The sequence below is a fragment of the Homo sapiens genome, chromosome 15 (assembly GCF_000001405.40).
Source record: "Homo sapiens chromosome 15, GRCh38.p14 Primary Assembly".
In the NCBI taxonomy this organism is placed as follows: Eukaryota; Metazoa; Chordata; class Mammalia; order Primates; family Hominidae; genus Homo; species Homo sapiens.
The window spans coordinates 26,648,485-26,676,065 of record NC_000015.10 but is presented as its reverse complement, the minus strand read 5'-3'; the positions used below and the strand labels follow the sequence as shown (position 1 = coordinate 26,676,065).

The 27,581-nt window shown below is 43.4% G+C and overlaps 1 protein-coding gene and 1 long non-coding RNA gene across 5 annotated transcripts in view, besides 1 other annotated feature; both read left to right on the top strand.

Annotated features, from left to right (window-relative positions):
- GABRB3 (gamma-aminobutyric acid type A receptor subunit beta3) overlaps window positions 1-27,581 on the top strand; it is a 230,212-nt gene that overhangs the window by 97,698 nt on the left and 104,933 nt on the right. The window lies entirely within an intron of this gene.
- LOC124903578 (uncharacterized) lies at window positions 16,795-19,038 on the top strand. The gene is made up of 2 exons (XR_007064793.1): window positions 16,795-17,622; window positions 18,710-19,038. It is a non-coding gene; the product is annotated as an uncharacterized LOC124903578 (long non-coding RNA).
- Window positions 26,736-27,236: an enhancer, noted in NCBI's record as "H3K27ac hESC enhancer chr15:26893977-26894477 (GRCh37/hg19 assembly coordinates)". NCBI's record gives its function as "activates a minimal SCP1, AML or CMV promoter by ChIP-STARR-seq in primed H9 embryonic stem cells {active_cell/tissue: H9 hESC(primed)}" and the evidence as "EXISTENCE:reporter gene assay evidence [ECO:0000049][PMID:30033119]".

Sequence of the window (27,581 nt, the reverse complement as noted above, 5' to 3'; positions counted from 1 at the left end):
CCTTTCTTAAGGACACTTGAATACTGCATAAGTTCTGATGACAAAGAGTCTCTCCTTGACCAAACTCTAATCAGGCCTTTCTGAACTCACTTCTCAACTGGGCCCTGACCTTTGGGTGTCAGTGTTCATCTCTGCATTGGAAACTTTTAGCAAGAACCCTGCGAAATCATTTCGACCAGAACCCCCAACCCTGGATATCTGACTGTCTTCGGTATCTGTTCAGTTTTCTCATTTACCATCTGCCTGGTGGTGTTTGATCACCCTGGCCTGTCTTTAGCAAAAACAAAGTTAGGTCAGTTTTTCCAGGATCCTCCCTTACCCTTGATGTTACCTCCTAGTAATTTTGCTATTGACTGACCTCCCCCCACCTCCAACATAAACACATTCTGCTCTTTTGCCATAAATTCCCACCTTTCCTTGTTGTATTGGGAAGTGAGTCTGACCTTCCTCCCCAGCTGCAGGATCCACTGCAGTGGTTCCTATACCTATCTCAATAGCCCTTATACCTATCTCAATGGTTCTGAATAAAGTCTGCCTTATTTTCTTGAACAAATGTCATGAGTCATTTTTAACACTGCTTACCTCTACTCCCAACACGCACACACACTCACACACATGCACAGGCACACACACAGACACACAAGGTAGGGGGTGTTCAGAGTCATCCAGTCTTTAAACGGGTTCCTGGTTGGGTTAGGTCCTCTTGGAAGGGCCCGAGTGTGGATGTGAAATGAACAGAAGGTGGTGGAGCTCCCTCTTTTGAGCCAGTGCTCCACTCTTCAGTAGAACAGGGCACTGATTCCAAATCAAATCTTTGGTTTTATAAGCTGCAAAAGATCTTTAACATGTTTTGTTGTTGTTCAGAAAATTGAGAAAAAGAAATAGCAGTGCTATGAGAAATCAGCTCCACAATCTCAACTGGACCCAGAGCTCTCGAGTGTAATTTAATATTCAGTTCCTCATTAAGAGACCCAGGGACTCCTGAGACTTTTGAAACCACAAGTAATTATTTCATAGGAAGGCCCACTAGCTTGATCAGTTTGATCCTACCTTCTCAGGGAGAAGGAAGGCAGATGCTTGGATTATATAAGGTTAACTCCTTGTGGTAACTTGGTTTTATTTGATATGTTATTACCTTGACCTCAAGGAGAAAACAGTACATCTAAAATGAAGCCATCCCTTCCATTTATGCAGGAGTGTCCTGTTGATCCTGTAAGCCTTGCCCTTCTCAAAACTGGTGATTTCTGTTGGAAAAAAGGATTTCTGTTGAAATCCTTTCCCATAATTTTGCAGCCACTCTTCCTGGTTCTAATTTCACGATTTCAGGTCTCGTTTGGGCACATGCCCTCAGGTTTCTGCTCAAAGTCATTCCCCAGAGAGGCCTTGTGGCATCCCTGCCTGCCCCTTCTCATGGCTCTGTTTTTCCTCATAGATCTTATCAGTCTCCCTCACTTCATTAAATGTATATGGATTTGTTTGTTATTTTTTTTCTAGAATTTCAATGCCGCAAGTACAGGGTCTTATATTCCTCTCTGCTGCGTGCATAGTTTCTTTTTTTTCCTTTTCCTTTTCTTTCTCTCTCTCTCTTTCTTTCTTTCTTTTTCTTTTCTTTTCCTTTCCTTTCCTTTCCTTTCTTTTCTTTTCTTTTTTTTTTTTTTTTTTTTTGAAACTGAGTCTCGCTCTGTCACCCAGGCTGGAGTGCAGTGGCGTGATCTCGGCTCACTGCAGCCTTCGCCTCCTGGGTTCAAGTGATTCTTCTGCCTCAGCCTCCCAGGAAGCTGGGATTACAGGGACCTGCCACCATGCCAGGCAAATTTTGTATTTTTAGTAGAGACAGTGTTTTACCGTGTGGGCCAGGCTGGTCTCAAACTACTGACCTCGGGTGATCGGCCCGCCTCGGCCTCCCAAAGTGCTGGGATTACAGGTGTGAGCCACTGCGCCCTGCTAGCTCTGCCCATGGTTTCTAAAACACCATCTCAGGAAATACTAAAAAAAAAAAGGGGGGGGTTAAATATGTGATTGATTGATTGAATTAATACATTAATGTACACACTCCTGAAACAGTTTGGCTTTTGCTGCCAGATAACACGTTTTATAGATTAACAATGTTAGGCGTATATATCTTTAAGAGAGGACTTACATAACAATACTGCTAAGGTAAAAGATATAAATAGAAACAGAAATCTGCTTTAATGTGGAGTTTTCCCCATAATGGGTCATTAATTAACTTGTCACATTCTAGCTCTATTCCATTCCAAGAATAAAAGCTTTGGACAAAGTTTTTAACACTCTGGTGCATTTCTAGATTTATGCGTGATGGGCATCTGCCGTGAAGAGTGGCATTTGGGGCTGGCTTCTCCTTCCTGCCTGGGACCTTTGTCTTGTGATGCACGTAGTTGTCTGATTTGCTCTGAATGAGGGAGCTTCTGGTGGCTTTCACAGTCACTGCTTTCACAGCCATGCTGGATAGGGTCTTTGCTCCATGGCTAAGAATGGAAGAGTAATTCGTATCATCAGTGTCACTGTATGGCCAGGATTTTGAGGTTACCATTCTATCTTACTATACTCCAAGTACCTTAGGGGATGAAGCGAAATTTTAGGTGAACAGGTACAGCTGCTGACATTGTCCGGTAAGTAATAGAGATAAATGCAGTGGCCACAAGAACTCACTTTCCAGAGAGAATGTGAAGAACATGAATAAGCTGAAGTCTGAACTCAGCTATTCACTCATCTATGGTTTAAAACAATGTGTTAAAATAAGCCTTGTTACTAAGTTGCCTGCATCTACCCTCTAAGGAAGAAGGAAGGAAGGAGGAAGGAAAGAAAGGAAAAAAGGAAGGAAAGAAGGAAGGAAGGAAGTTACAATTGCAACTTTTTTCTAGCAGAATTAATGAATGTTGAGTTTCAAGAGTTACTTGAGTTTTAAGAAATGCCCACTTTCTGTGCCCGGCTTGTTTGGAATTTAGTCCCAGAAAGAGTGACCCCAGGAAAACACGATAGGAGGTCAATTTGTAGCTCCATTATGATATACTCTGATTTTTGCTTAAAATGCAAGTTTTTCCATTTTGTGCATTGGCTTTTGATAAGTAAGTATGACATGTGCTTGTAATGTTTTTATGAAACAAGAGTTTAAGACTCCATGAAATAAGTAGTTATTCAACCCCAACAGGCCTACATTTTCTTTTGCTGTCTCCTTTCTCTTGGTGTTTTTCTCTCTTTAATGGCATTTTATCATTCTTCCTCCATCACATATTTTTCATCCGTCCTTGTAAACATTGCGCATCTGCTCTGATCATGATGTTTGAGCCCACAGACATTCCCATCATCAAAACTTTAATTTGTGTGTGTACATGGAGAATTACGCCAAGAAAAGAAATCAATGGTATTGGACAGTGTAGGGAAGAAAAATTTTTTTCTCCACTCTCTTAGGTTCAGGGGCTGGAGGTGGAGGGCTGTGAATTAAAGCAACATCGGACAGGTGAACAGAAGAAAAGGCCTACTAACTTATTACTGCTAAATTTTATGTGCATAGGGGCATCATGGAAAGAAGTGAATACGCAAAGGAGAGGTGAGATTTGAGAGCTGATACCAATCTTCTTAGGGGAAAGAGAGAGGGAGAAACTCCATTTACGGAAGAGCAGATGATCTTCAGGAACTATAAGTGGGTCTTAGGAGGACAGATGGGCCATGTGGTGGCTTGTGACGATGTCTGGGTGTGGCGCTGACTTCTCTGCTCTCTTGTGATAACAGTCAATCTTCCCTGGTTATAAAATGCCTGGAGATGGGATTTATGACAGTTGAGGTCTTTTTGAAGGGTCCCTTTTCTGGGCAAAAATGAGAATTTAGAGAAAGTTTCTTCCTGCGTTCCTTGATTCTCAAATGTCTTCAGCTCAAAATAATCCTATGTCACTGTGGCACGTTCTGGACCTTCCAACAGTTTGTAAAGTTCTAAGCACGCAAAGAAAAGGAGGGAGGGAAAAGAAAACTCTAGGAAAAGAGAAAAACATTAAGAAAAAACAAGAAGGATACAGGGTAATTATTCCAAATTTTTCTCGGTATGACCCATTGTTTCTATAGTGAAACCATTTGTTGATATATATCAAAGTGAATTAGCAAACTTATAGATGTGAAAATGACAAGTAACTTTTTCCCTGGGATCAAATGAGCTCAAACTCTTTGAGACAGTGACTAGGAGAGAAAACAGAATTCCCTGCGTGTGGTCTGCTCAGCAGGCTCAGAGCCCTCACCACCTTGTCCCCCCGTGGCACTGGGGAGGGGAGGAAAGGCTTGATTATGCACTTCCAAAACTCATTTCAGCTTCTTAATAGTACAAAGTAAATTGAAAACATGTCAACCATAAAATTGATGAAGCACAATAAAATCAGTCTGAGATTCTAGCAGGAAAGCCTACCCCAACTAATCAAATAAGAAATTTATAATTCTTTAATACGACTCATCCATAAAGCACCCCCAGCATTTATAAAGCACACAACTCCCTTATAGATTCTGTTGGTCTCTTGATGAATGTTTAAAGCACTCTCGAAACGGGAAGCCCTCACCCAGAGATTCTCTTTTTAGTGGCACTGGTTTCATCTGGGAACTTGGAGGAATGTGTCCCTGCTCCAATCTTAGCTGGTCTTCTTGTCCTTCCGGCACAACTGTGGTACAACTAAGGCCATCTCTGGCATGTCTTCTTAGACATATTTGAAAAATGAATTTGGAGTTTGCTACAAATTTGCCAGATACTTGAGTAGCATAATGAATTCTGTTTATTTCAAATCACTTAGTGATGGAAGTTTCTCCTAATTTATTTTATCATGGAAAAAATTTTAAATCAATCAAGAACCTGAAAGGAAAATGACCAGTTATTCAGCTTCTGTTCTGAGGACATTTTTGGAAATAAAAGGCCTTATTTCTCTTCTTGATTGGCATAATGTTGTCATTTCTTTACACATCACAGTATTTCTTACTTCCTTAAGTGGCGTAGGGCTTATTCCTCAGCAGTCAACTATCTCATAGATTAGCCAGGCATGGTGGTGCACACCTGTGATCCCAGCTACTTGGGAGGCTGAGGCAGGAGGATCACTTGAGCCCCGGAGGTTGATGCCGTAATTGTGCCACTGCACTCCAACTGAGCGACGTTTCTCTGAAAAAAATAAAAATAAAATAAAACTATTTAAAAAGTAAATATCTCATAGAGTAGCTGTGTGATAAGGATGTTTAGCTATGAATGGTCTTTGGAAAAGGCAAGGGCTTAAAAGAAAGAAAGAGGCATAGGAAAAGCGAGTTTTAAATTTTTTACAAGTTGTAGCTTGTGTCTTGTGTATGCATATATGAATCTCATCAAATTGCTCAAAGTACAGTTACACTTCATAATTTTCTCAGTGTCAGTAGTATCATCCTCCCAAATCCCAGAATTGTAATTTTCCTATCTCGATATTTATGGGAAAAGCTGCAGCCGGGGTATGGAAAGCCCGGCCGGAGCGGGCTCCTGTGACGGCCGCGCGGCTCGAGAGCTGGCGTGGAGCTGCGGTCGGCACGGGCCTGGGCTCCTCTTCTCTTCCCTTCCTCCCTTCCCAGGCCGTGCTCCGAAGCCGCGCCTTGGCGGCCACCTCTGCGCCCAGCCTCCCGCGCCCCTCCGCAGCCAGCCACGACCCTGCTGTCGTCAGACCTGCACCTGCCACCTCCCGGAGCCCATGCTGCAGTGCCTGGACCGGGTCTGTCCAGTGCGCCGTGCCCTGCCCTGCTGCTGCAGACTGTGTCCCGGGCCCCTCTTCCCGCCTACCCTTACCTCTCCCGCCCCTCCATGCCCACCTGGAGCATCCTGCACATCTCTGCCTGGCCTCCCTCCCGCTCGCCGCCCCGCCCCGCTTACCCGCTGGGCTTGAGCCCGCGTTGGGGCGTAGCGGTCTCCGCGCTCAGCCCTGTAGGCTCCCGCACCGGGAGACTTCTTGCGTCTCCTCCCAGGTGAGGCTCCGGGGCGCTCGAGCAGCTCCCTTCACGTGGCTCTGTGCCCGTGACCGTGACTGTGACCTCCTGCACAGCATGAGGGGTGCATTGGAAGATGGACAGGGCCTCTCTGGAAGTGACACTGGATTCAGACACACATACTGCAGGTGCAGTGCACGGCATCAGGAGAATGCCCAAAAGGCAGTGGCACCCAATCCTGAGAAAGGGAATCACAGGAAAGGTTAACTTGACCCAAAAGAGAGAAAGGATCAGGATCAAAACAAGAACCTTGAAACAACTCAGAGCTCTTACAGGGAGTGGGTGATGGTGGTTGTAGAAGATGGAAGGAAAAGGTAGCAAAGGAAAGACAGCAGAAATAGGAAGTCTTGGACCAGTATTTAAGTAGCCAAGAGAAAAGGTCAAAGAAAGGGACATTTTTATGTCAGAATAGGAGGACTACTGAGGGAGTGCAAGTTAAAGGAGAGGGGTGGGGAGAGAGAGAGAGAGAGAGACAGAGTGAGTCTTGGAAAGAGGCTGTGGGTGATGAGAACATCCCAAGATTACAGGCCACCACGTTCTTGGAGGGAAAAGCAGGTTGTGGTGTGAACTATCAATAATTAAGGAAGTGAAATGATAATATTACCATGTTGGACACCTACCCCATGGCAGACAATGTGCTAGGTGCTTTGGACAGCTTATATGATTCACTGCTCACTGCACATCAACGAGGAAGATACCAGCATAATCCCCAATAAGCAAATGAGGAAAATGCAGCTTTGGGATGCCACACACTTAGCGAACATGCAGCCAGGACTTAATCCAAGCTGTCTAAATTTTGGAGATACTTCCCTAAGTAGGAAGGACATCACTGAAACGAAAGAGATAAAATTCCTGTGGCAAGGAAAGGGCAGGATTCTGTGGGGGTCACAGAGCAGATACACCAGGGGTTTGAGAGGTGGGAAAAGAGATAAACCAAGAAAGGAGACAGAACAAGAAGAGGGAAACAGACAGATAGACGGAGTGTGGGGCTGTTTATGGAAAGCAGTGAGCCTTACTCTGGGGAATCAGATAGTTTGACACCAGGACTTTCCAGCTGCCATCACGGAGGGGCAGGTACAATAGTTATCTGGATGCATAGTCATCCTCATTGTGTTCGATATGGTGTGATTAATCTTAGCCTTGCTTTTCACCCAAGGGTACCCTGCAGGGAATATGTTCATTTATGAATCAATCACCCATGCATTCATTTAAACTTTGTTTATGCTTCTTAAATCATAGTCCTCTACAACCTTGGGGAGTATGGGACTTGATATTTTGAGGGCCTAATGTGTACAGTTTTTGCATAGAGAGGTTTTGCTGCTCACTTCCTCAGATGTTATAGTCATACAATTTACTCCCCTTGATTAGGGAACTCTATTTACATATGATTTAATCTTAGCTATGTATTATTTTGTGGAGTACACATTAATTCTTCAACACCACTGATTAAATAACTTTCTCAAGAAAAGATAGAAAAGAGGGAGTATTTAGGGACTACATGCTCTTAGCAAGAGCTGACAGGCCAATTGACAGAAAAAAACACATAAATGACATCCAAGGTAAAGGGAAAACTGTATGTATGAGGCTGAGGGTTCTCAAAAGAAGAGTGAGCCTTGGTGTGACTGAGTCAGTTCGGCCCTAGGCAGGGGCTGCAGGCATTCCCGGCCTCATGTAGTAAGAGCTTATACAAATGATAGTCATAGAATATTTGCTTTCTGCCAATCATAGTATCAAATCTTGTTTTCATATTTTTAATTTTTTATAGCACATTAGCACTAAAATAGCTAACACTATTTACCTTAAAATATCTTAATTCCAATTTACTTTGCTAAGTTAAGTAAATTGTATTCATTTTGAGTAGGCATATTCTTTATTTCCTTGCTTGCAAAGAAACCTGTGAGGTAGGTCCTGTTACTGTTCCCTTTCTATAGGGAAGATAATCAAGGTTCATGGAGAATGGCCTGCATTATAAGGAAGTAGCAAAGCTGAGACTCTGACTCTTGTCTGGGTGACTCCAGCAACTGTGGTCTTAAAACCACTGTTACGCAGGGTGTTACGCAGGGAATCTTGTTTCCTATTTCTGGAATTATCTTCCTCAAACCTCGTTTTGATTGTTTTATTTCTCTGGCCAACCTCACTACAGTGCATTAAATGCAAGTCCTTGGCCTGCTGCTCTGAGCTTGCATCTGGACTTCCTACTTCATACGGGATTTGCAGACCCAAGGTTCTCATGCTTGAGCATGCCTCTGAGTCACGTGGAGGGATTGTTTCGACACAGCTGGCTGCATCCCAGCCCCAGAGTTTCTGAATAAACTGGTCTGGGATGAGGCCCAAGAATGTGCATTTCTAACAAGTGCCCAGGTGACGCTGATACTGCCGGTCTGGAGATCCTACTCTGGGAATGAGTGCCTGAGACCACAGCAGAAGGAATTACCGTTAGATTGTTTTAACTCAGTGATTAGTGGAGGTCACCTTTTAATACCAAAGAGAACATATTATGAATTTAAGAATTTAAAATAAACCTGATTAAACCACACCTTTTGTAGAAGGCTGATGCATTTTAAAACAGCCAGCGCTAGCACCCCGCCTTTGGAGTTCACATGCTCCAGGTAGAACTGTGTCACACAAGAGTTTACCATCCTGAACTGGTTCTTCTGGTGCACTCCATCCGGTGGCCGCATTAGTCAGAGCAGTTAAGATGAAAGGGGGCGGATGAAAATGTCCCGGACTGTGTCACCCCCAGATCCTACTAGAAATAAGAAAACTCCACTGCCAACATCTATGGTCCCCACAAGTCCTGGGAGGCTCTGCTGCTTGGCAGTTCACTCCTCGGGCTCTGGCATTGGAGACTTTGGCTGGAATCGTGGCTGCGCCCTAACCCAGGTGTGAAACCTGCAACCGTGACCCTCTGTTTTCCTTCACTGTAGAACAGAGACAGTAATACAGGATGCGTTCGGGACCGAAGCGAGGTGATATTCATGTATTATGGAGCGGTGTGCTCTCAATCAATCCATGTCCTGTTATTTTCACACCAAAAGCACCTAACCCCTGCAATTGGTGTGCACGGGGGTGGGCACCAGTTCTTGTGCTGGCTGAGGTCATTTTCAGAAGGGATGGATAACTCCTTGCCTCCCTGGAAGAAGGCAGAGATGAGTGTTCAGATCTAGAGGTGGCTGTAGTGGAAACAGAGAGCCCTGATCCTTCTTGCTCAACGCTTCCTGGGCCGTGAAGCGACTGGCTTCATGTTTCTTCTTCCTGACAAGTCTTCCCTTTGAGAGCAACTCTGGCTAAATGTGTCCTAGGACCATGGAACATTGCTTCTGCACAAATCCTTCCTCTTTCAAGGCAGGGGGCGCCCCAGGCCTCCATTCCCGTAGATATCCTGAGTCCTGCAGGTGACATAGGAATCCCTGAAGAGGCAAGAGGCACTAGATTGCCTCCCTAGTTCCTGCCCTGCCCTGCATTTGACATGCACTGATGATTAACCATACAAGTAACGACTGTCAGGCTCTCAGTGGCTTGCAGACCATTTCGTATCCTTCCATGTTCACCTGTAGTTTCTGAACTGCTTCATGTAGAGCAGCCAATGGCTCGTGACAAGCCTGGCAGGGTCACTGCAGCCCTCGGCCTCCCCTTACTTCACCACGCTGAGTGACTTCGGTGCGTGCAAGAAGCCGGGTATGCTGCTGGTGAGTGGAAAGTACATTACCTCTGACAAATTACTTTTCAGAAAGAGTCACAATAAAAATATTCTGTTCTTGCTTCCCATCTGCCAAGCAATAGAAATACACTACTCAGTTGGTGCCTTAAAAATTGTTTGACCATAAGTAATATGGTACTTGGGTAGAATGAAGGAGTAATGCTTTCATCTGAACAATTCATTTCCCCTGAAACCTAAAAATAGCATCACACTTGGCTGGATTATTGAGGAGTTTCACAGAGGCCATTTTTCAGTGCTAGTGTACTTATGTAAGCATGCTTTCCTTTAGACAGTGGCTTCAGGCTAAAAAGCTGGTCTGTGTGTGCATGTTTGTGCGTGTGCTTGGTAAAATAACAGTCTAAGGTCAGGGGGTTTCTACTTTGGATTATCTGAGATTGAGAAAGGTTTTATACTTGTAAACCTACTTGTCTCAGTGGCTTACCACACGTGCCATTTCAACACAAATGCACACTTTTTATTGTTATCATCCATTATAAATAGCCAGGTTTATACTTTTTCTTCTGTACAACTTTATAGTTTTTCCTATTGCTGTCATATGAAGTAGCTCATTAGCACCTTTAAAAGAAAAGAAAAACAACAACAACAACACATAAGCCTGTATGGCAGTTAGATGAGGTTTTATCATTTCCATTTTGAAGATTAGGAAATGGTGCCCCAGAAAGATGAAATGACTTGTCGGGAGTGCCCAGCCCTTCCAACATGAGTGCCCACATGAGCATTTATGGTCTCCTTTTACCTGACACCAGCTCCTTTTTCTGCCTTATTTCCTATTCCTCCTCTTGTCATGCATGGGAAATGGAATGTCACTTAAGGTGGACCAGAGGGTAAATATCAAAAAGAAAACGTTAATTTGCTATTATTACTGTCATTACTACAGCTATTTAAAAGATACTTTTAGTTTTTAAATCTTGGTTCTTTAATTTTATGTTTACATCCAGCCTTACAAATAACAGTTTGGTAATCTCTGCTACCTTTGCAATTTTGCATGATGATTCTGTTTTGCATTTGTTAAATGAGAGTATTTAATTCTATGATCTTGAAGATTTCTTCCCCCGAAATTGAACTCGTGGAGAGAGAGTAGAGTGGTGAGGCTGGGAAGAGTGGCAGAGAGTGAGGGATAAAGTGGTCATGGTTAACAGGTAGAAACATACAGATGGATACAATGAATAAGATCTAGTGATAGGTGGCACAGTAGGGCGACTATAGTTAAAAATAATGTATTTTGTATTTTAACATTTTAAATACTTTAATTTTAAAATGCTAAAATATAAAATGTTATATATAAAATATACATTAAAATGTTAAAAAAATAACTGTAACAGTAGAATTGGAATGTTCCTAGTGTTCTTAACCCAAAGAAATGATAAGGGCGTTCACGCCTGTAATCCCAGCACTTTGGGAGGCCAAGGTGGGTGGATCACCTGAGGTCGGGAGTTTGAGACCAGCCTGACCAACACGGAGAAACCCTGTCTGTACTAAAAATACAAAATTAGCTGGGCGTGGTGTTACATGCCTGTAACCCCAGCTACTTGGGAGGCTGAGCTTGAACCCAGGAGGTGGCAGTGCAGAGGTTGCGGTGAGCTGAGATTGTACCATTGCACTCCAGCCTGAGCAACAAGAGCGAAACTCCACCAAAAAAAAAAAAAAAAAAACAAAGAAAAGAAAAGAAATGATAAGGGCTTGAGGTGATGGGTACCCCATTACCGTGGTTTGATCATTGCACACTGTATGACTATATCAGAACATCACATGTACCCCATAAATATATGCAACTATGAGGTACCCATAATAATTAAAAATAAATAAATAAATTGCTTTTAATATGCAAAAAAATGATTTCTTTCCACCGTGAAACATACACAGTCAAGACTGAATGAAGTTATAAGTGAAGATGAGGCTTGTAATTCTGGCCAACATGGCGTATCCCTCTTCCTCCCATGCCCTGTCCACAACTAAAACACCCTGAACATGGTATGAGTAAATGAGTGATAAATACAATAGGCTGCCCCTCTCATGAGTTTTTTTAAAAGTATGTTTGAAGATTGAAACAAAAATTAACGTTACTATCTGATGTAGTGTTCAGTGAATGTAGAGGAGGCCTGGGCAACATAGCAAGACCCCATCTCTACAAAAAATTTAAAAATCAATTAGCTGGATATGGTGGCACATGCCTGTAGTCCCAGCTACTCAGGAGGCTGAGGTGAGGGTCGCTTGAGTCCAGGAGTCCGAGGTTATAGGGAGCTATGATCAGCACTGCATTCCCACCTGGGCAATAAAGTGAGACCCTGTCTCTATTAAAAAAATGTAGAGGAAATTCTTAAGACATTTCTATTTTAAAAGATGGGAGAATAAAAGGACTTAATAGAGGACAAGTTTTTAAATTTTGTTTGAAGTGTTAAAATGCTGATACCAGTAGGCTCTGATGTATGACTTACATATATGTTAAAACTTAATCACTAAAAATCATACAAAAATATATAATGGAAAACACTATAGAAAAATTAAAATGGACTTCCAAAAGATGTTCATGTGATCTATAAGAATGCAAGAGGAAAAGCAAACAGAGGTATAGAAAACGGAACAAACAGAAAACAAGAAATAAATTGGCAGGCTTTAGCCTTGACCTCTCAAGGCTATTAAAATATCTATTTTAAATATAAAAGGTCTAAACATAGCAATTTAAAGACAGGGATTTTCAGAATGAATAAAAACTAGGATGCAAATTCAGTGCATGCTTTCCGATAAACTCACATCAAACATGACAGCACAGGTAAGTTGAAAGTCAGGTGATGAAAAAAGATGTATTATGCAGGCACTAACTTTTAAAAAAGCAGGCATGACTATGTCAGATAATGTAGATTAAAGAGCAATGAAAAGAAGGACATCACATCACAATTTAAAACATCAGTGTAGCGATTAGACATAGCAGTCCCAAATATGCGTGCATCAAAACCATGAAATTCGTGATACCAAAACTAATAGCTTAAAGGAGAAACAGACAAATTCACAATTATAGTTGGAGATTTCAGCACCCCACTTTTAGTAATTTGTAGAGCTATTAGATAGAAAATCATATAAAGTTCCTAAAAATAACAAAATTGAAAAGTTGAATACGTCAGTCATTGCCAGGGTTGGGATTAGAGAGGAGGGAGGCTGATGTGGCTATGAAGGGGGTCACGAGGCAGGCCTGTCACAATGAACGGTTCTGATTGGTTCTGTATCTCAACTGTAGTGGTTGCACAAACCTATACATGTGATGAGATTGCACAGAACTACACACAGAGACACACACACACGTTTACATCTAAAGCTGCTGAAATCTGAATGTGATCTGTGGAATGTACCAATGTCTATTTCCTAGTTTTTGATATTGTGCTAGAATTATGCCAGATGACAGCCTTGGGGGACACTGGGCATGGGGTATGTGGAACCATCCTGGGCTTTTAAACATTTGCAACATCTTGTAAAGCTATAATTACTTTAAAATAACTGTAAAGCAAATGAAGAATGCTAACACTAAAAGATGTGTTGGGTCTGTTGGAGTTGCCTCTGTGTTCCTGGTAATGCTTTTCCTATCCTCATGTGACTGTGTCTTCCTTTCTTGATCTGATTTGGGTTGGGGTTGTAATGACACTGCCCTGAAAGGTACGCCTGTGCACTGTGCATTAGAAGTGAGGGCCTTTCTCTTGTGATTGCTGGGGCGAGCTGTGCGTGCAAGGACCAGGGTTGTGGGCACCTTTTTTCTAAGGCCAAAGCTCTCCCTGTTCATCTGTGCAGAGGCACCGTGGCATGGAGCTGCACAGAGTAATGAGGCCTAATTATTATGGGGTTTTACACAAACCACTGAAAGCTAAAAATAAGGCCGTTTGTTTCCTGATGCAGGTTTAACAGCTGTGGAAATGCCCCTGGCTGTGAACTGGGCAGCGTAATCCAGTGAGGGAGTCGTGGTTGGATGTGTCTATGGAAGGGAGGGAGGATGGCTGAGCTTACCCCCTTGGATAAACCTTCTTTTCTGCCCAACCCAATAGAGAGTTAACCCTTTATATCCTGTCAGGGTTCTTTTAGAGCTATCTTTGAAAGCACAGAATCTTTGAGAATTGTAGCATTCATGCTTTTCTGTGGTAACAGCAATGCCTATTTTCTTTGTATGAAATGTGGATAAAGATGAAAGAGGATAAGTATAGATCAGCTGGGAAGATATATTTCTGGTAAACATACTTCCTTTGTATGCACTGCACAGGTTCCAAAGCCTCCGTTCATTCAAAGGGATTGTGTTTTGATGGTTATTAAAGATGGCATCTGAGGAAAGTTAGGAAGTACAGTGGAGATGAGTCATCTGTGGGTTATATTTTAATTTGACTATCTCGGCTGCGTTTAATTGAATACTCAGTGTCTGTTATATAATGCAACATTTTTTTTCATGTGGTTTGTGGCAATCAGAGCTACACGTCAGACATAACAACCATATTAATAGCTCAGCACTCACATAGCCAAATTCCTTCCTAGGCAGTACTTCGGCCTGAGGACTGGGAGGACGCTGTTCCATGCGGGTCCAGGTTCACATCCTGGCTTGCTTTCCCCCTGCTTAGCTGGGCTCTTTCTGGTGGGATGAGCTCTTGCATCTCCTTGGGTGTCCCCTCACTTCATTGCAAGACCCCTTCCGATCCCCACTCTCATCTTCTCTGCATCCCATATGCATTTCCCTCACCATACCTGAAACCCCTTCTTGCTCTTGTGCGTGTAAGCCTTTCCCTGCACGCTACTGTGCTCCACTCCAGAGTTCAGAGGTGCTGCTTTTGTCTGCGTTCCCCAAGCACCTTGTAAATGTTCCCTGGCTGACGAGTGAATATGATGATGAAAAGGGATGCCTCGTGTAGACATCTAGCAGGGGTCTTGCATACAGGTGCTCAGAATTAAAGGAAACTTTAATTTGACTTGGCTCTCAGATACCAAGTGTGTTAGATACTTAAGAGTTTGCAAATAATTAAGGGGAGGCAAAGAATTGTGTGCGTGTGTGTGCGTGTACATGTGCTTTGTGTGTGGGTTTGTATGCATGTGTGTATGTGCATGTGTAGGCATGTGCATGTATGTGGGTATGTCATAGTTTTCTCTTGAGCATGTCAGTGTTGAGAATTCAGTTGAGAATTCAGCTGGTGATTAGGAACCATGAGTCTCCTTCACTGTGACTATCTCAAACTACTCAATTTGCCTGTTTTTACCTACACTAATTGTCAGTGAGGAAATATTTCTTTTAATTTTTTTTTTATTCTTGGCTGGGCACAGTGGCTTAAACCTGTCATCCCAGGATTTTGGGAGACCAAAGCGCGAGGATCACTTGAGTCCAGGAGTTCAGGACCAGCCTGGGCAACATAAGGAGACCCCCACACCTCTACAAATAATTTTAAAAATTAGCCAGATACAGTGGTGCATGCAGGATGCAGTGAGCCATGAGTGCACGCTACTGCACTTCACCCTGGGCGACAGAGCGAGACCCTGTCTCAAAACCCCTTGCCCCCCCAAACCAAACAAATATCTTTATAATTCATTATAATTTCCAGATGTGGGCACTTGGCATCTCACTTTAACATCGTAACAGATCTTTGTGGTGTACCTAGCAGGTTCTGTCTCACTTTGCAGGTGGGGAAACTGAGGCTCACAAGAGTCGTGACCAGAAAAGGCAAAACCAGATCTACAACCCAAGTTGTCCGTATCCTGGGTGCTTTCCCCAAAATATCCCACAGAATCTGGCTGCTGTGTGGTGGTGGTTCTCTCTGTATGATAAACAGGCCTGGACTTTCGCCAGATTTGGGGAATAGTCCTTACTGTCAAAGCATTTTGGGCAGTTGCCAGTTGCTTTTCATTCTAAATTAGGCAACTATTAACTCTGATGTATTTATCCTCTATATATAGAAGCTTAGAGGAGAGAAACGAGGAAATTGACTTGGGATTTCAGAAATCCCTCACCATCTGAGATCCGGTGGTTTTAACTACAATGTAACAAAACTGTTTATTACACACATTCGGTTGCTATGGAAATAGCCATATTTCTCCTAATCAACTGAGTATCTAGAGGATCCTAGTGTCGCCACATTTACACGTATATTTTCCCTTCTTTTTTTTTTTTTCCGAGATGGAGTCTTGCTCTGTCGCCCAGGCTGGAGTGCAGTGGCATGATCTCGACTCACCGCAACCTCCACCTCCCGGGTTCAAGCAATTCTCCTGCCTCAGACTCCTGAGTAGCTGGGATTACAGGGGCGTGCCACCATGCCTGGCTAATTTTTGTATTTTTAGTAGAGACCGAGTTTCACCGTGTTGGCCGGGTTGGTCTCAAATTCCTGACTTTGTGATCCACCCGCCTCGGCCTCCCAAAGTTCTGGGATTGCGGGTGTGAACCACCACGCCCAGCCTCATTTTCCCTTCTGATGGTCAGGCCTTCTGTTAGTTGCCACTCCCTGAAGTGTGCTTTTTAAAGGGATTCCTCCATGATTCCTGACAATACTGGCAACAAGATGCTTTTACAATGTAACTTTCTGGTGTGCCTCCCCATGGGTGGCCCAGTGCAGGCCGGTGCTCATGGTGGATGGTGCTTGCTCTCCAGGAACATGCTGGATTATGCTAATAAACTACTCCTTTCTTGACAAAGAACATGTATTTCTTCCTCATTTCCATCTTCCTCTTTCTACTCTCTATTCAGACTACCAGGTGAACCTGTTTGGAAAATGGTATATTTCAGTCAAGTTTGTTGAAAATAGTCTCAAGATTTTCAGCTTTCCATTTGCCATCATCATGATACTTAACCTGTTATTTATTTATTTACTTATTTATTTATTTTTTTGAGCCAGAGTCTCTCTCTGTCGCCTAGGCTGGAGTGCAGTGGCACGATCTTGGCTCATTGCAACCTCCACCTCCTGGGTTTAAGCGATTCTCCTGCCTCAGCCTCCCAAGTAGCTGGGATTAAAGGCGCTCCCCACCACGCCTGGCTAATTTTTGTATTTTAATAGAGATGGAGTTTCACCACCTTGGCAAGGCTGTTCTTGAACTCCTGACCTCAAGTGATCCACCTGCCTCAGCCTCCCAAAGTGCTGGGATTACAGGCATGAGCCACTGCGCCCAGCCTTAACTTGTTTTAGATAAATTATTGGTTTCATTTTTCAAACAGAAAATGAAACTTCAACAAGCTAAAGAATAGTGCATGACTTGTACCATTGACAGTGGTTCCATGGCTGCCTCCAACAACCTCCCAGGCCCCTTCCTGAGCCATCACAGGCATCTGAAGGCACCGTCTTTACCCCTTGGTCGCAAGAGCAAAATAGAGTGGATGCAGCCTCTGTATTCATGTGGCTGAATAGGAAAGTGAAAACAAATTCCAGGGACTGAAATGGAATTGCTTGTAGGAACAATTTGATCAATTTATTTTAGCGTAGTGATTCTCACCTATGACCTATCATCCAAATGGGTATCCTGTGACTTCCTTTGTTGTTGAATAATGGTTTTGAGGGTTCCGTTTCAATTGGCAACATAGCAGTTCCAGAATGTTTGCAATCAAAATGGCCAATTTCCATTCAAATGTCAATTACTATGGGTGAGGAAATCAGCATTACATCACAGATGTGTGAGCACCTACACAAAGCCTGCAAATGCTGGACAGGGAACCTCGTGCAAATAATATGGCAGTATTGGCAGGAATGATGGAGGAATCCCTTTAAAATGTACACTTCAGGCAGCAGCAGCTAACAGAAGGCCTGACCATCAGAAGGGAAAATGCACATGCAGATGAATGTGTGGCAGCACTGGGATCCTCCAGATATCCAGTTGATTATGAGAACTATGACTATCTGCATAGTCAGAGTCATTCTTTGGAATCAGACAGATGTGTATGGGCTGGAGTATGTACATATTAGGGCCATAACAATGTAAGTGCCCGTCGAGTTCTTGACTGCTGCCTAGATAGAGCTGATTTATTGAGATACAGAAATTGCAGTAGAGAAAGAATTTAATGCACACAGAGCCTGCTAGACAGGAGACAGGAGTTTTATTATTTCCTCAAATCAGCCTCCCCCCACAATTAAAAAATTAGAAGGCTGGGGTTTTTTTTAGAGATAGTTTGGTGGGCAAGGGGCTGGGGAATGCTGACTAGTCAAGTCGGGGATGAAATCATAGGGACCAAAACTGTCTTCTTGTTTTTCATTCCTGAGTGGGATCACATAAATAGTTAAACCAGTTTACTGGTCTGGGTGGCACCAGCTGGTCCATCACAATGCACAGTCTGAAAAATACCACAAACATCAGTTTTAGGTGTTACAGTGGTACTAGTTATCCGTAGGAGCAATTGGCCAAGTTTGGAACCTTGTGGCCTCTGGCTGCATGACTCCCTAGCCATAAATTCTAATCTTGTGGCTACTTTGTTAGTTTAACGAAGGCAGTCTGGTCTCCAAGTAAGAACGGGGTTTGTTTTGGGGAGGGGCTGTTATCTTCTTCGTTTTAAAGTTGAACTATAAGCTGAATTCCTCCCAAAGTTAGTTAGGCTGGGCCCAAGAATGAACCAAGGGCAACTTAGAGCTTAGAAACAAAATGGAGTCAGTTAGGTCAGATTTCTTTCACTGTCATAATTTTCCTAGGTCAGACTTTTCTGTCATAATTTTTGCAAAAGTGGTTTCATTAAGTGAATAAAACCCTTTGAAATTCAGTTACCTATGAACTGGAGATGATACTTCTGCTTCTCATGTTTGCTGTGAGAATTCAACAAGGCCACATATATAAAGCACCTAACACAGGGTCTGAGACATACCATGCATTCCCTTTTCTGGTCTTCAGCTCACTGTGTTTAGAAAATAAATACAGTTTTACCTACACTTGAGCATATTGGGTGGCTAACTTGTCACCTAACATCCATCCGTAGATTTAGACCGTACAGGTCTCTGTTACTAAACTAGGGCAAGTGAGTATTCATGTGTTAATGTTTCATTGTCGGAATAACTTTGGATTGCATTTGGCAATTAGGATTCAAGTCAGAGAATTATCAACCATTGATCACCAGTTTTCTCTGAAATAGTCTGAAAACTGGTGACGAGAAGCCACTCACCATTTGCTACTAACAGCTCAAAGGTGAAGAATATTCCATTAAATAAAGCACTAAAGAAGATAAGCCTCTCCTCAGGCGACAAAGGGCCAACCCCAAATGAAGTCCATGCTGCGGGTCTTAAGGTCATCTGCTCATAAGAAACTGGTCACTTCTGGTGTGAGTTAAGATGAATGGAGAGAGAATTGGTTCCCAGAGACCACAGTGAAAAAGGTTAAGAACATAATAAAGACCGTAAGTTCCCCAAATAGTGAATTGTGTTTCTCTTCTTCCTAAATACAGAAAGGAAGGGTGCTACTTTTCACTCTGAGACAGATGGAGCTACTAGGTAAAGCATCATTATTGCTGTTTCAGTCTCTATTTGAAACATCATTTCCTGGGACTTAGATCAACAAGGATCTCAAAACTCAGACAAGAATTTTTTATTTTAATCCTGTGTTTTAGGACAGGGTCCCCAACCTTTTTGGCACCAGGCATCTGTTTCGTGGAAGACACTTTTTTCCACAGATGGGCGATTGGGGGAGGGGTATGGTTTGGGGATGAAACTATTCCACCTCAGATCATCAGGCATTCGACTCTCATAAGGAGTGTGCAACCTAGATCCCTCACATGTGCAGTTCACAATAGGATTTGTGCTCCTATGAGAATCTAATGCTGCCACTGATCTAACAGGGGGCCAAGCTCAGGCAGTCAGGTTCACTCACCTGCAGCTCTCCTGCTGCTGTGTGGCCCAGTTCCTAACAGGCCACGGACTGGTCCCAGACCACAGCCCAGGGATTGAAGACTCCTGTTCTAGGATAGGCAAAGTAAAATGAACAAATGTTAGCCATGTGTAAGGTACTTAAGGAAAAATCGTAAGTTTGCAGCAAACAAATCATGCCCCTCAGGTTGTCTGAGAGACTCTGATTTTATGTGTCACCTAATCCTTATTGGCAACATTTGCTATTTATGAAGTTTAGGAAGGATGAACTGAGTTTGCCTTGCACTGAGTCACTAGACAGTTTATCTTTCCGGAGCTGGAGGGAAATGAGAGACGACAACTGGCTCCCTTTTTTACAAGTGTGGAGGCTGAAGCCCAGGCAGGTGAGTTCTGCTGAGAGTGACAAAGCTCAGCTCGGGACTGTCACCTGTACCACGCGGCCTGACAGAGGAGGCAAGCTCTATCTGACCACTGTGAAAATATGCATCTGTATCTGACGGCTGTTAAAACGTGCACATCCCAAAGTAACGAAGAGATGAGAGGCAAATAACAGAAAGGAAAACTAACTTGCCAAAATACGTTAGTCAGAGGTTTAATAACCATAATATAAAAAGAATGCTATGATAAGAATAAATCCAACCCTCAAAAAAACAATGATGCAGATTACTTGTGCTTGGAAATAAAAAATGTAAATGAAAACAATAATGAGCTTTCTCTTTGGTCTGTCTAATGAGCTGATTAGCAGGTGCCTGAGTTGTGAGGCCATTCAGGTATACAGGCACCAACAGGTACAAGTACACAGGTATGCAGAAACCGAGGGTTTTTTTTTTTTTTTTGAGACAGAGTCTCGCTGTGTCACCCAGGCTGGAGTGCAGTGGCACGATCTTGGCTGACTGCAAACTCCACCTCCTGGATTCAGGCCATTCTCCTGCCTCAGCCTCCCGAGTAGCCTGGACTACAGGCGCCCGCCACCACGCCTGGCTAATTTTTTGTATTTTTAGTAGAGACAGGGTTTCACCGTGTTAGCCAGGATGGTCTCGATCTCCTGACCTCGTGATCCGCCTGCCTTGGCCTCCCAAAGTGCTGGGATTACAGGCGTGAACCACCATGCCTGGCCTAAACCGAGGGTTTTTCCATGTGATCATAGCCATAAAATGTGCATTCACCCCCAGTCTGCATCCTACAAAATAATAATGTGGAAACTTGCCTTTATGGCTATGGAGGTGTTCATCATTATGTTATTTACAACAGTTAAAAGGGAGGTGGGTTAAATAAATTATGATATATCAGACAGATTTTCACATAATAAAGTGATTATTAAAGGATTTTGAATGTGGAAAGATGTTCAGCATGAAATTTTACATAATGTGAAGCATGCAGCACAAAATTCAATATAAGCATGATCTCTACTATATTAAATTAACCCATATGTGCAACACAATCTTGTAAATCAATTCACCAAAATATTCACAATCCTTATCTCAAGATAGTGAGGGTTTTGTTTGCTTTACTTTTTATAAACATTCTACAATAAACAGTAATTATTTTATAATCAGAGAAAGGAATGTACTTATTTAAAAATAATTGCTAAGCAGGGCATGGTGACAGTCTTAGCTACTCGGGAGAGTGAGGTGGGAGGATAAGCTAACCCCAGGAAATCAAGGCTGCAGTGAGCCGTGATCGTGCTGTTGTACTCCAGCATGGGCAACGGAAGTGAGACCCTGTCTCCAAAAAAGGCAAAACTAAAACCAAAACCAAAAACAAACAAAAAAAAATTTACAAAGATAAATGAAATTGAACCTCCCTCCCCTTTTTTTGAGACAAGGTCTCACTGTGTCACCCAGGCTGGAGTGCAGTGGCACGGTCACAGGTCACTGCAGCCTTGAATTCCTGGTCTCACATGCTTCTCTTAAGTCAGCCTACCCAGGAGTGGGGACTACAGGTGTGTGCCACCTCTGCTGGCTAATTTTTTTAAATTTATTTCTTGGAGAGACGGGGTCTCACTATGTTGCTCAGAATGGTCACAAACTCCTGGCCTCAAGCAGTCCTCCTGCCTCGGCCTCCCAAAGTGCTGGGATTACAGGTGTGAGCTACTGCACTTGGCCAAACCCATTTTTAAGAGCACCTTTGTTGGCTGGGTGCGGTGGCTCACGCCTGTAATCCCAGCACTTTGGGAGGCCAAGGCAGGCAGATCACAAGGTCAGGAGATAGAGACCATCCTGGCTAACATGGTGAAACCCTGTCTCTACTAAAAAATACAAAAAATTAGCCAGGCATGGTGGCGGGCGCCTGTAGTCCCAGCTACTCGGGAGGCTGAGGCAGGAGAATGGCATGAACTCAGGAGGCGGAGCTTGCAGTGAGCTGAGATCACGCCACTGTGCTCCAGCCTGGGCAACAGAGCAAGACTCCATCTCAAAAAACAAACAAACAAAAAAACACCTTTGTTTACCACAAATTTAAAAATTTGAAGTCATCAAACTTTGTATATTTATAGTGCATCTTCTGTAGATTGCAAGAAATAGCTATTGCGGACCTCATAATGGTATTATTTCCTGGTGTTCTTTGCATTTGGGATTTATTGTTTTAACATTTAAGCAGTTTATTAGTCTGAATAAACATTATAGTCATGATCTGGTTGAGTACTTTTTCAAGCTGCTTCCCAAATTTTCCATGAGCCTTGAAAAAAGGAACTTATCTAAATATTCAAACACTGCAGTTTATTCCTTCTCAGTTTCTACATGCTTCCTGTTTAAAAAATATTTAGGCCAACATTTATTTGATGTATGGAGAACTTTACATGCATAGTTCTGAAACTGCCTTTGCAAAAATTATGACAGTAAGAAAATTATGACGGTGAAAAAGATCTGACCTAACTGTAACCACCCAATGGGTCCATTTTGCCTGCTGCCCAGATACAGCCAATATATCAAGATAGAGGAATTGCAATAGAGAAAGAGTTTAACTCATGCAGAGCCAGCTAAAAGGGAGACTGGAGTTTCATTACTCAAATCAGTCTCCCTGAAAACTCAGAGTCTGGAGTGTTTAAAGGATTAATTTGGCAGTTAGGGGACCAGAGAGTGGGGAGTGCTGATTGGTCAGCTTGGAGATGAGATCATAGGTGATTGAAGTGGATTCTTCTTGCTGTCTTCTGTGCCTGGGTGGGATTGCTGAACTGGTTGACTCAGTTTACTGGTATGGATGGTGCCACCTGATGCATTAGAATGCAGGGTTTGAAAAATACCTTGAACACCAATCTTAGGTTTTACAATAGTGATGTTATCCATAAGAGCAATTGGGGAGGTTCAGAATCTTTTGGCCTCTTTCTGCATGACTCCTAAACCCTAATTTCCAATCTTGTGGTGAATTTGTTAGTTTTACAAAGGCAGTCTTGTCCCCAGGCAAGAAGGGGGTTTGTTTTGGGAAAGGTCTGTTATCCATCTTATTTTAAAGTTAAACTATAAACTAAGTTTCTCCCTAAGTTAGTTCTGCCTACTCCCAGGAATGAAGAAGGCAGGTTGGAGGTTGGAAGCAAGATGGAGTCGGTGAGGTCAGAACTCTTTCACTGTCATAAGTTTTCTCCCTGTTGCAATTTTTGCAAAGGCCGTTTCAGTTTTACTTGGTACTCAAAACAATCCACTAAGGTGTGTACTCGTGTTATCCTTATTTTAAAGAGGAGGAAAGCAGGACTTAAACTTTAGGCTGTCAGACTCTCCCTTTCCTGCCCCACATCATTCATTTTCAATTTCCTGTATTCTGGAGATAGAATAAATCAGCGTGAATAAACATTTTCATTGTTGCAGTACAAAAATATAGATTTACCCTCCTTTTAGGGTACAACTCAGTGGTCTAGGAAACTGCAAATCTTCCCGTGGTTTTTGAAGCCATAAATTGGAAAGGATTAAGGGTTTCATCTAGGCTAATGCTCAACTTGCTGTTGACTATTTCCAGGAAATGTTTATGGCCTCTATTTATACTTCTACATATATATTTATATTTTTAATATATTTTTATTAAGGACACATTTATGTTTTGATGGAATTATGGCCCCAACTGTTTCTATTGCATCATGCAGTTAAAATTCATGTGATTTTTCTTTGGTTGTATTTGTCATCTTTGTTCCTGGTAAGATGTTAGCCTCATGATTATAAGAAAACCAAATTCTGCCAAAATACATTTAAACAGGTTTATTCTTAGCCAATAGGAGTGACCATGGTGCCGAGTAAGAGCTCCTGAGGCCGTTAAGTTACAGTTTGGTTTTACAGTTTGGTTCAATATGTGAATTGCAGATAAAATTGTCAGTACCTGGAAGGTATACATTGGTTGTGCCACGAAAGGAGGAACATCTTGAAGCCATGGGGCTTGCAAGTCATAGGTGGGTTTTAGAGATTTCTTAGTTGACAGTTTGTTGAGAGTTAAGCTATTATCTAAAGACTTGAAGTCCATGGAAAGGAATGCCTGAGTTAAGATAAGGGGGTTGTGGGGCTAAGGCTCTTGTTATGTAGAGGAAGGCTCATAGGTGGCAGCCCTCAGAGAGAATAGATGGTGAATGTCTCTTCTCAGACCTTAAAGGTGTCAGGCTCTCAGTTAATCTCTCCTAGATCTGGGAAAGGCCTAGAAAGGGAAGACCTGGCTGCATGAATGGAGATGCACTACAGATGAAAATTTTCCCCACAAAAGGTGGCTTTGTGGGGGATATTCCAATCTGTTAGCCCTGTGGCAGCCATTTCAAAATATGTCAAAGAAATATATTTTGGGATAACATGGTTTGATTTCCTTCAGGGCCTCCTGTCTGCCATGTGATGCTGTACCAGAGTGAGGTTGGAGAGCAAGGCACATCATATCGGGTTAAGAAAAAAGCCCATCAAAATGAGATGTTATGGTTTGTAGGGTGTGACTCCCCAAGTGCCTTAGATATGTATTTTGGCAAGAGAAAAAAAGGTCAGAGTTTAGTTCTCACTTGAAAGCAGTGACCATGTATAAGAATTATTTCCCTTTCTGATCTTCTTAGCATTATCTTAGCATTTAGGAATGGGGTCTAACCACGGATTTTTCCTCAGTCAGAAACCACTAATATAAGGGATATTTACACCTGATTTTTATAGCTCTGAACATACTTGAATGTTCCCACAAGTCAGTACACCCTCTGGTTTTTATCAGCAAGTAGCTGAATGCAGAAGGATGATACTAAGGCTGAAGTTAAATTGATGCAGTATTCTTCTTGGCCCCTTTGCTGGACACACCACAGGGGTGCCCTGTTTATTCAGTCCATGTGCTCAACCCCTTGTGGGAGGGAGTGTGTGAACAAGCGGGTGAGGGATCCAGTCAGCTCCTCTGGACGCCAGCAGGGGCAAGCTCTGTGTGGGGCCTGCAGTGGTGCCTAGGTGGCGTGTTCCGGTGCTGTCCTAGCTCCACTGTCTGCAGATGGCAGTGTGTTAGCAGCTCAGTTGGCCCCTTGTGGCAGTGCCCAGAGCAGTTGCCCTCTGTCAGTGAGGGCAAAGGGCCTGTGTAACAGCCTTTTTGGGTACCCATACTCAGTGGGTCCCTAGCCCTTGTCTGGCATCCAAGAAGAATGAGGTTGGGTTGGTCGCACAGACAGTTGAAGGATGGTGAAGCCGGATAACTTTCTTAAGTGATGAACATGGCTCTCAGTAGAGAGTGGAGCTGGAGAGGGGACAGGGAGGGCAGGCCATCTTTCCTGAAGCCTGATCGCCTCTTCTCTGAAGTCCGTCTCCTCAAAGTCCAACCATCTCCCCATCTACCAACTGAGTCTGGGGTCTTTATAGGCACAGGATGGGAAGTGCATGCTGATTGGTTTGTGAGCATGCAAAATAGGTTAAAGTGAAGACACCACTCAATGGTGGGCACAACAGTGTAGAAAACCAATTAGGAAAGGGTAGGCACATGTAAAATAGGTGAAGGGTGGGGATCAATCAGAAGGAAGGCAAGTTCTCAATCCAGTCTGAGGATTTAACTTAAATTTAGCTTCCAGGCTTTAAATTGTCTTCAGCTTGGAGGTGGGGCTTCACTGGGTACCCACCCCATCTGTCTAGGCATTTGGCTGCCTCCTGTTGCTATCAAAAGAAACTATTTCCATTTACTTCTGAGGTCAGAGGGATCCTCTGAAAATCTGCTTCTCTTTTGGCCCTACTGGGTCTTCAGCCTGACCTCTCCTCATAGGTTAAGTCCCTCTCTCAGCATCACCCACTCCAGCCCAGTTACCCAGGTCTGAGTCCTTCACTGTTCAGATGGGGCTAAGGGTATGCATGGGGCTGGGGTGAGGCCAACTTGACACCACTTTTGAACTGCTGTGAAATCCCAAGGGAGTTCATTAACCCAATACTCATCTTTCTCACCTGAGAATTGGTGTGATAACAATGTGAGCCTTGGAAGGTGGTGGGGTGATGTACATGAAGCACCCAACAGGGCTCTGGACAGGAACTGAGTGTTTCAGAGATGCACAGCCTTGGCGTGGTGATTATTCCAAGCTCATTGTTGCTGGGCTGCTGAGGGTAGCTGAACAAGGCTACACAAACTTGCTGGCTGGCTCCACTACAAATGCACAGTTTCAGTCTCTGTTGGACGCTCAGAACTGCTCAGAATTTTGTTTGGGTTTTGTGCCCAATTATCTCTAAACGTAGAATTGGACTGTTTTATCTCACTAATAAAATATCCCCTTTGTAGGAGATTCGGAAATTACAAAACATTATTAAAGACTGAAATTAAAAACTCATGATCCCACCCCTCAGAGACAGCTATGATTCCATATTTCCATATTTTAGTGTATTTTCATATTGTTTCCATAGCTACCATCTATCTATGCATCCATCCGTCCATTCTTTTATCGACTTATCTTCTCTCTCTCTCCCTGTCCTCTCTAATTTCACACACACACACACACACACACACACACACACACACAGCCTTGGCTCTGTCCTGCTTTCTTCTATGGGCTCAGCACATTTTCCTTTCTCCTCATCAGCTCACTTTCCCTGTAGCGGCTGTTACAAGAACCTGACCTTTCTCTTTACACTACCTCCAGTCATGCCTGTCTTAGTCCATTCCTGCTGCTATAACAGAATACCACAGACCAGGTAATTTATTAACAATAGAAATGTATTTCTCACAGTTCTGGAGACTAGGAAGTCCAAGGGCAAGGTGGCAGTAGGTTTAGTGTCTGGTGAGGACTACGGTCTGCTTTTAAGGTGCTGCCTTGTTTCTGGGTCATCACATGGTGGAGGGAGAAGAGAGAGAGGAATGCTGTGTCCTAATATGGAAGAGGAGACAGAAGGGCATCTCATGTCCCTCTAGCCCTTTTACAAGGGCACTAATCCCTTTTGTGAGGGCAGAGCCCTCATGACCTAATCACCTTGAAAGTCCCCACTTCATGACTATCACCAAGGTGATTAGGCTTCAGCATATTAATTTTGCAGAGATGCATACACGCATATCGTAGCAATGCTTCTCACCGTAGCAAATGACCCAGCTTCTGGATCCACCAAGAAAACAGCGCGAGAGAAGTAGATGGTTCTGCTGCCTCCCTGCTCGCCCAGACCCTTTGTATCTTCTCATCTCTTAGCTCTTTGCTGTTTCCACACCTGCATCTCTGCTTACCTCCTCCATGACTCAGCTCCTCCTGCCACCCACTCTGCAGGCACCCCACAAGCTCCAGCCCCTCCCTGGAACCCCACCAGTCATCCACATTCTGAAGGCACCCCCTTCTGTCCACCCACCTGCTGCTCAAAATCCCAGCCGCTGTCAGTTCTTTCCTTCCCCATCAGAGAGGAACCATGGTCTCCACACTAGTGATTCTGTCTCCTGCCTCGCCCTGCTGACGCACCCTTGGGCTTCTGTCTGTGGTTTTACAGACACTGTTTCTCTCCTGTGACCTCCTGGGTCCCCAAGACCTTGGCCTCTTCTGTATGCCTTGTCTCAAATTTTTTGCCACATTATTCTTGGCTACCTGGGATTCCCACTGCCTGGTTCTCCTGCCGCTCCCTCACTGTTCCTCCTCAGTATTTTTAACTGATGGCCCTTTCTCTGCCCCTTTCTTCGGGATCATAAGGTTCTCACTGTACACCCTCTCCATGGTTAGT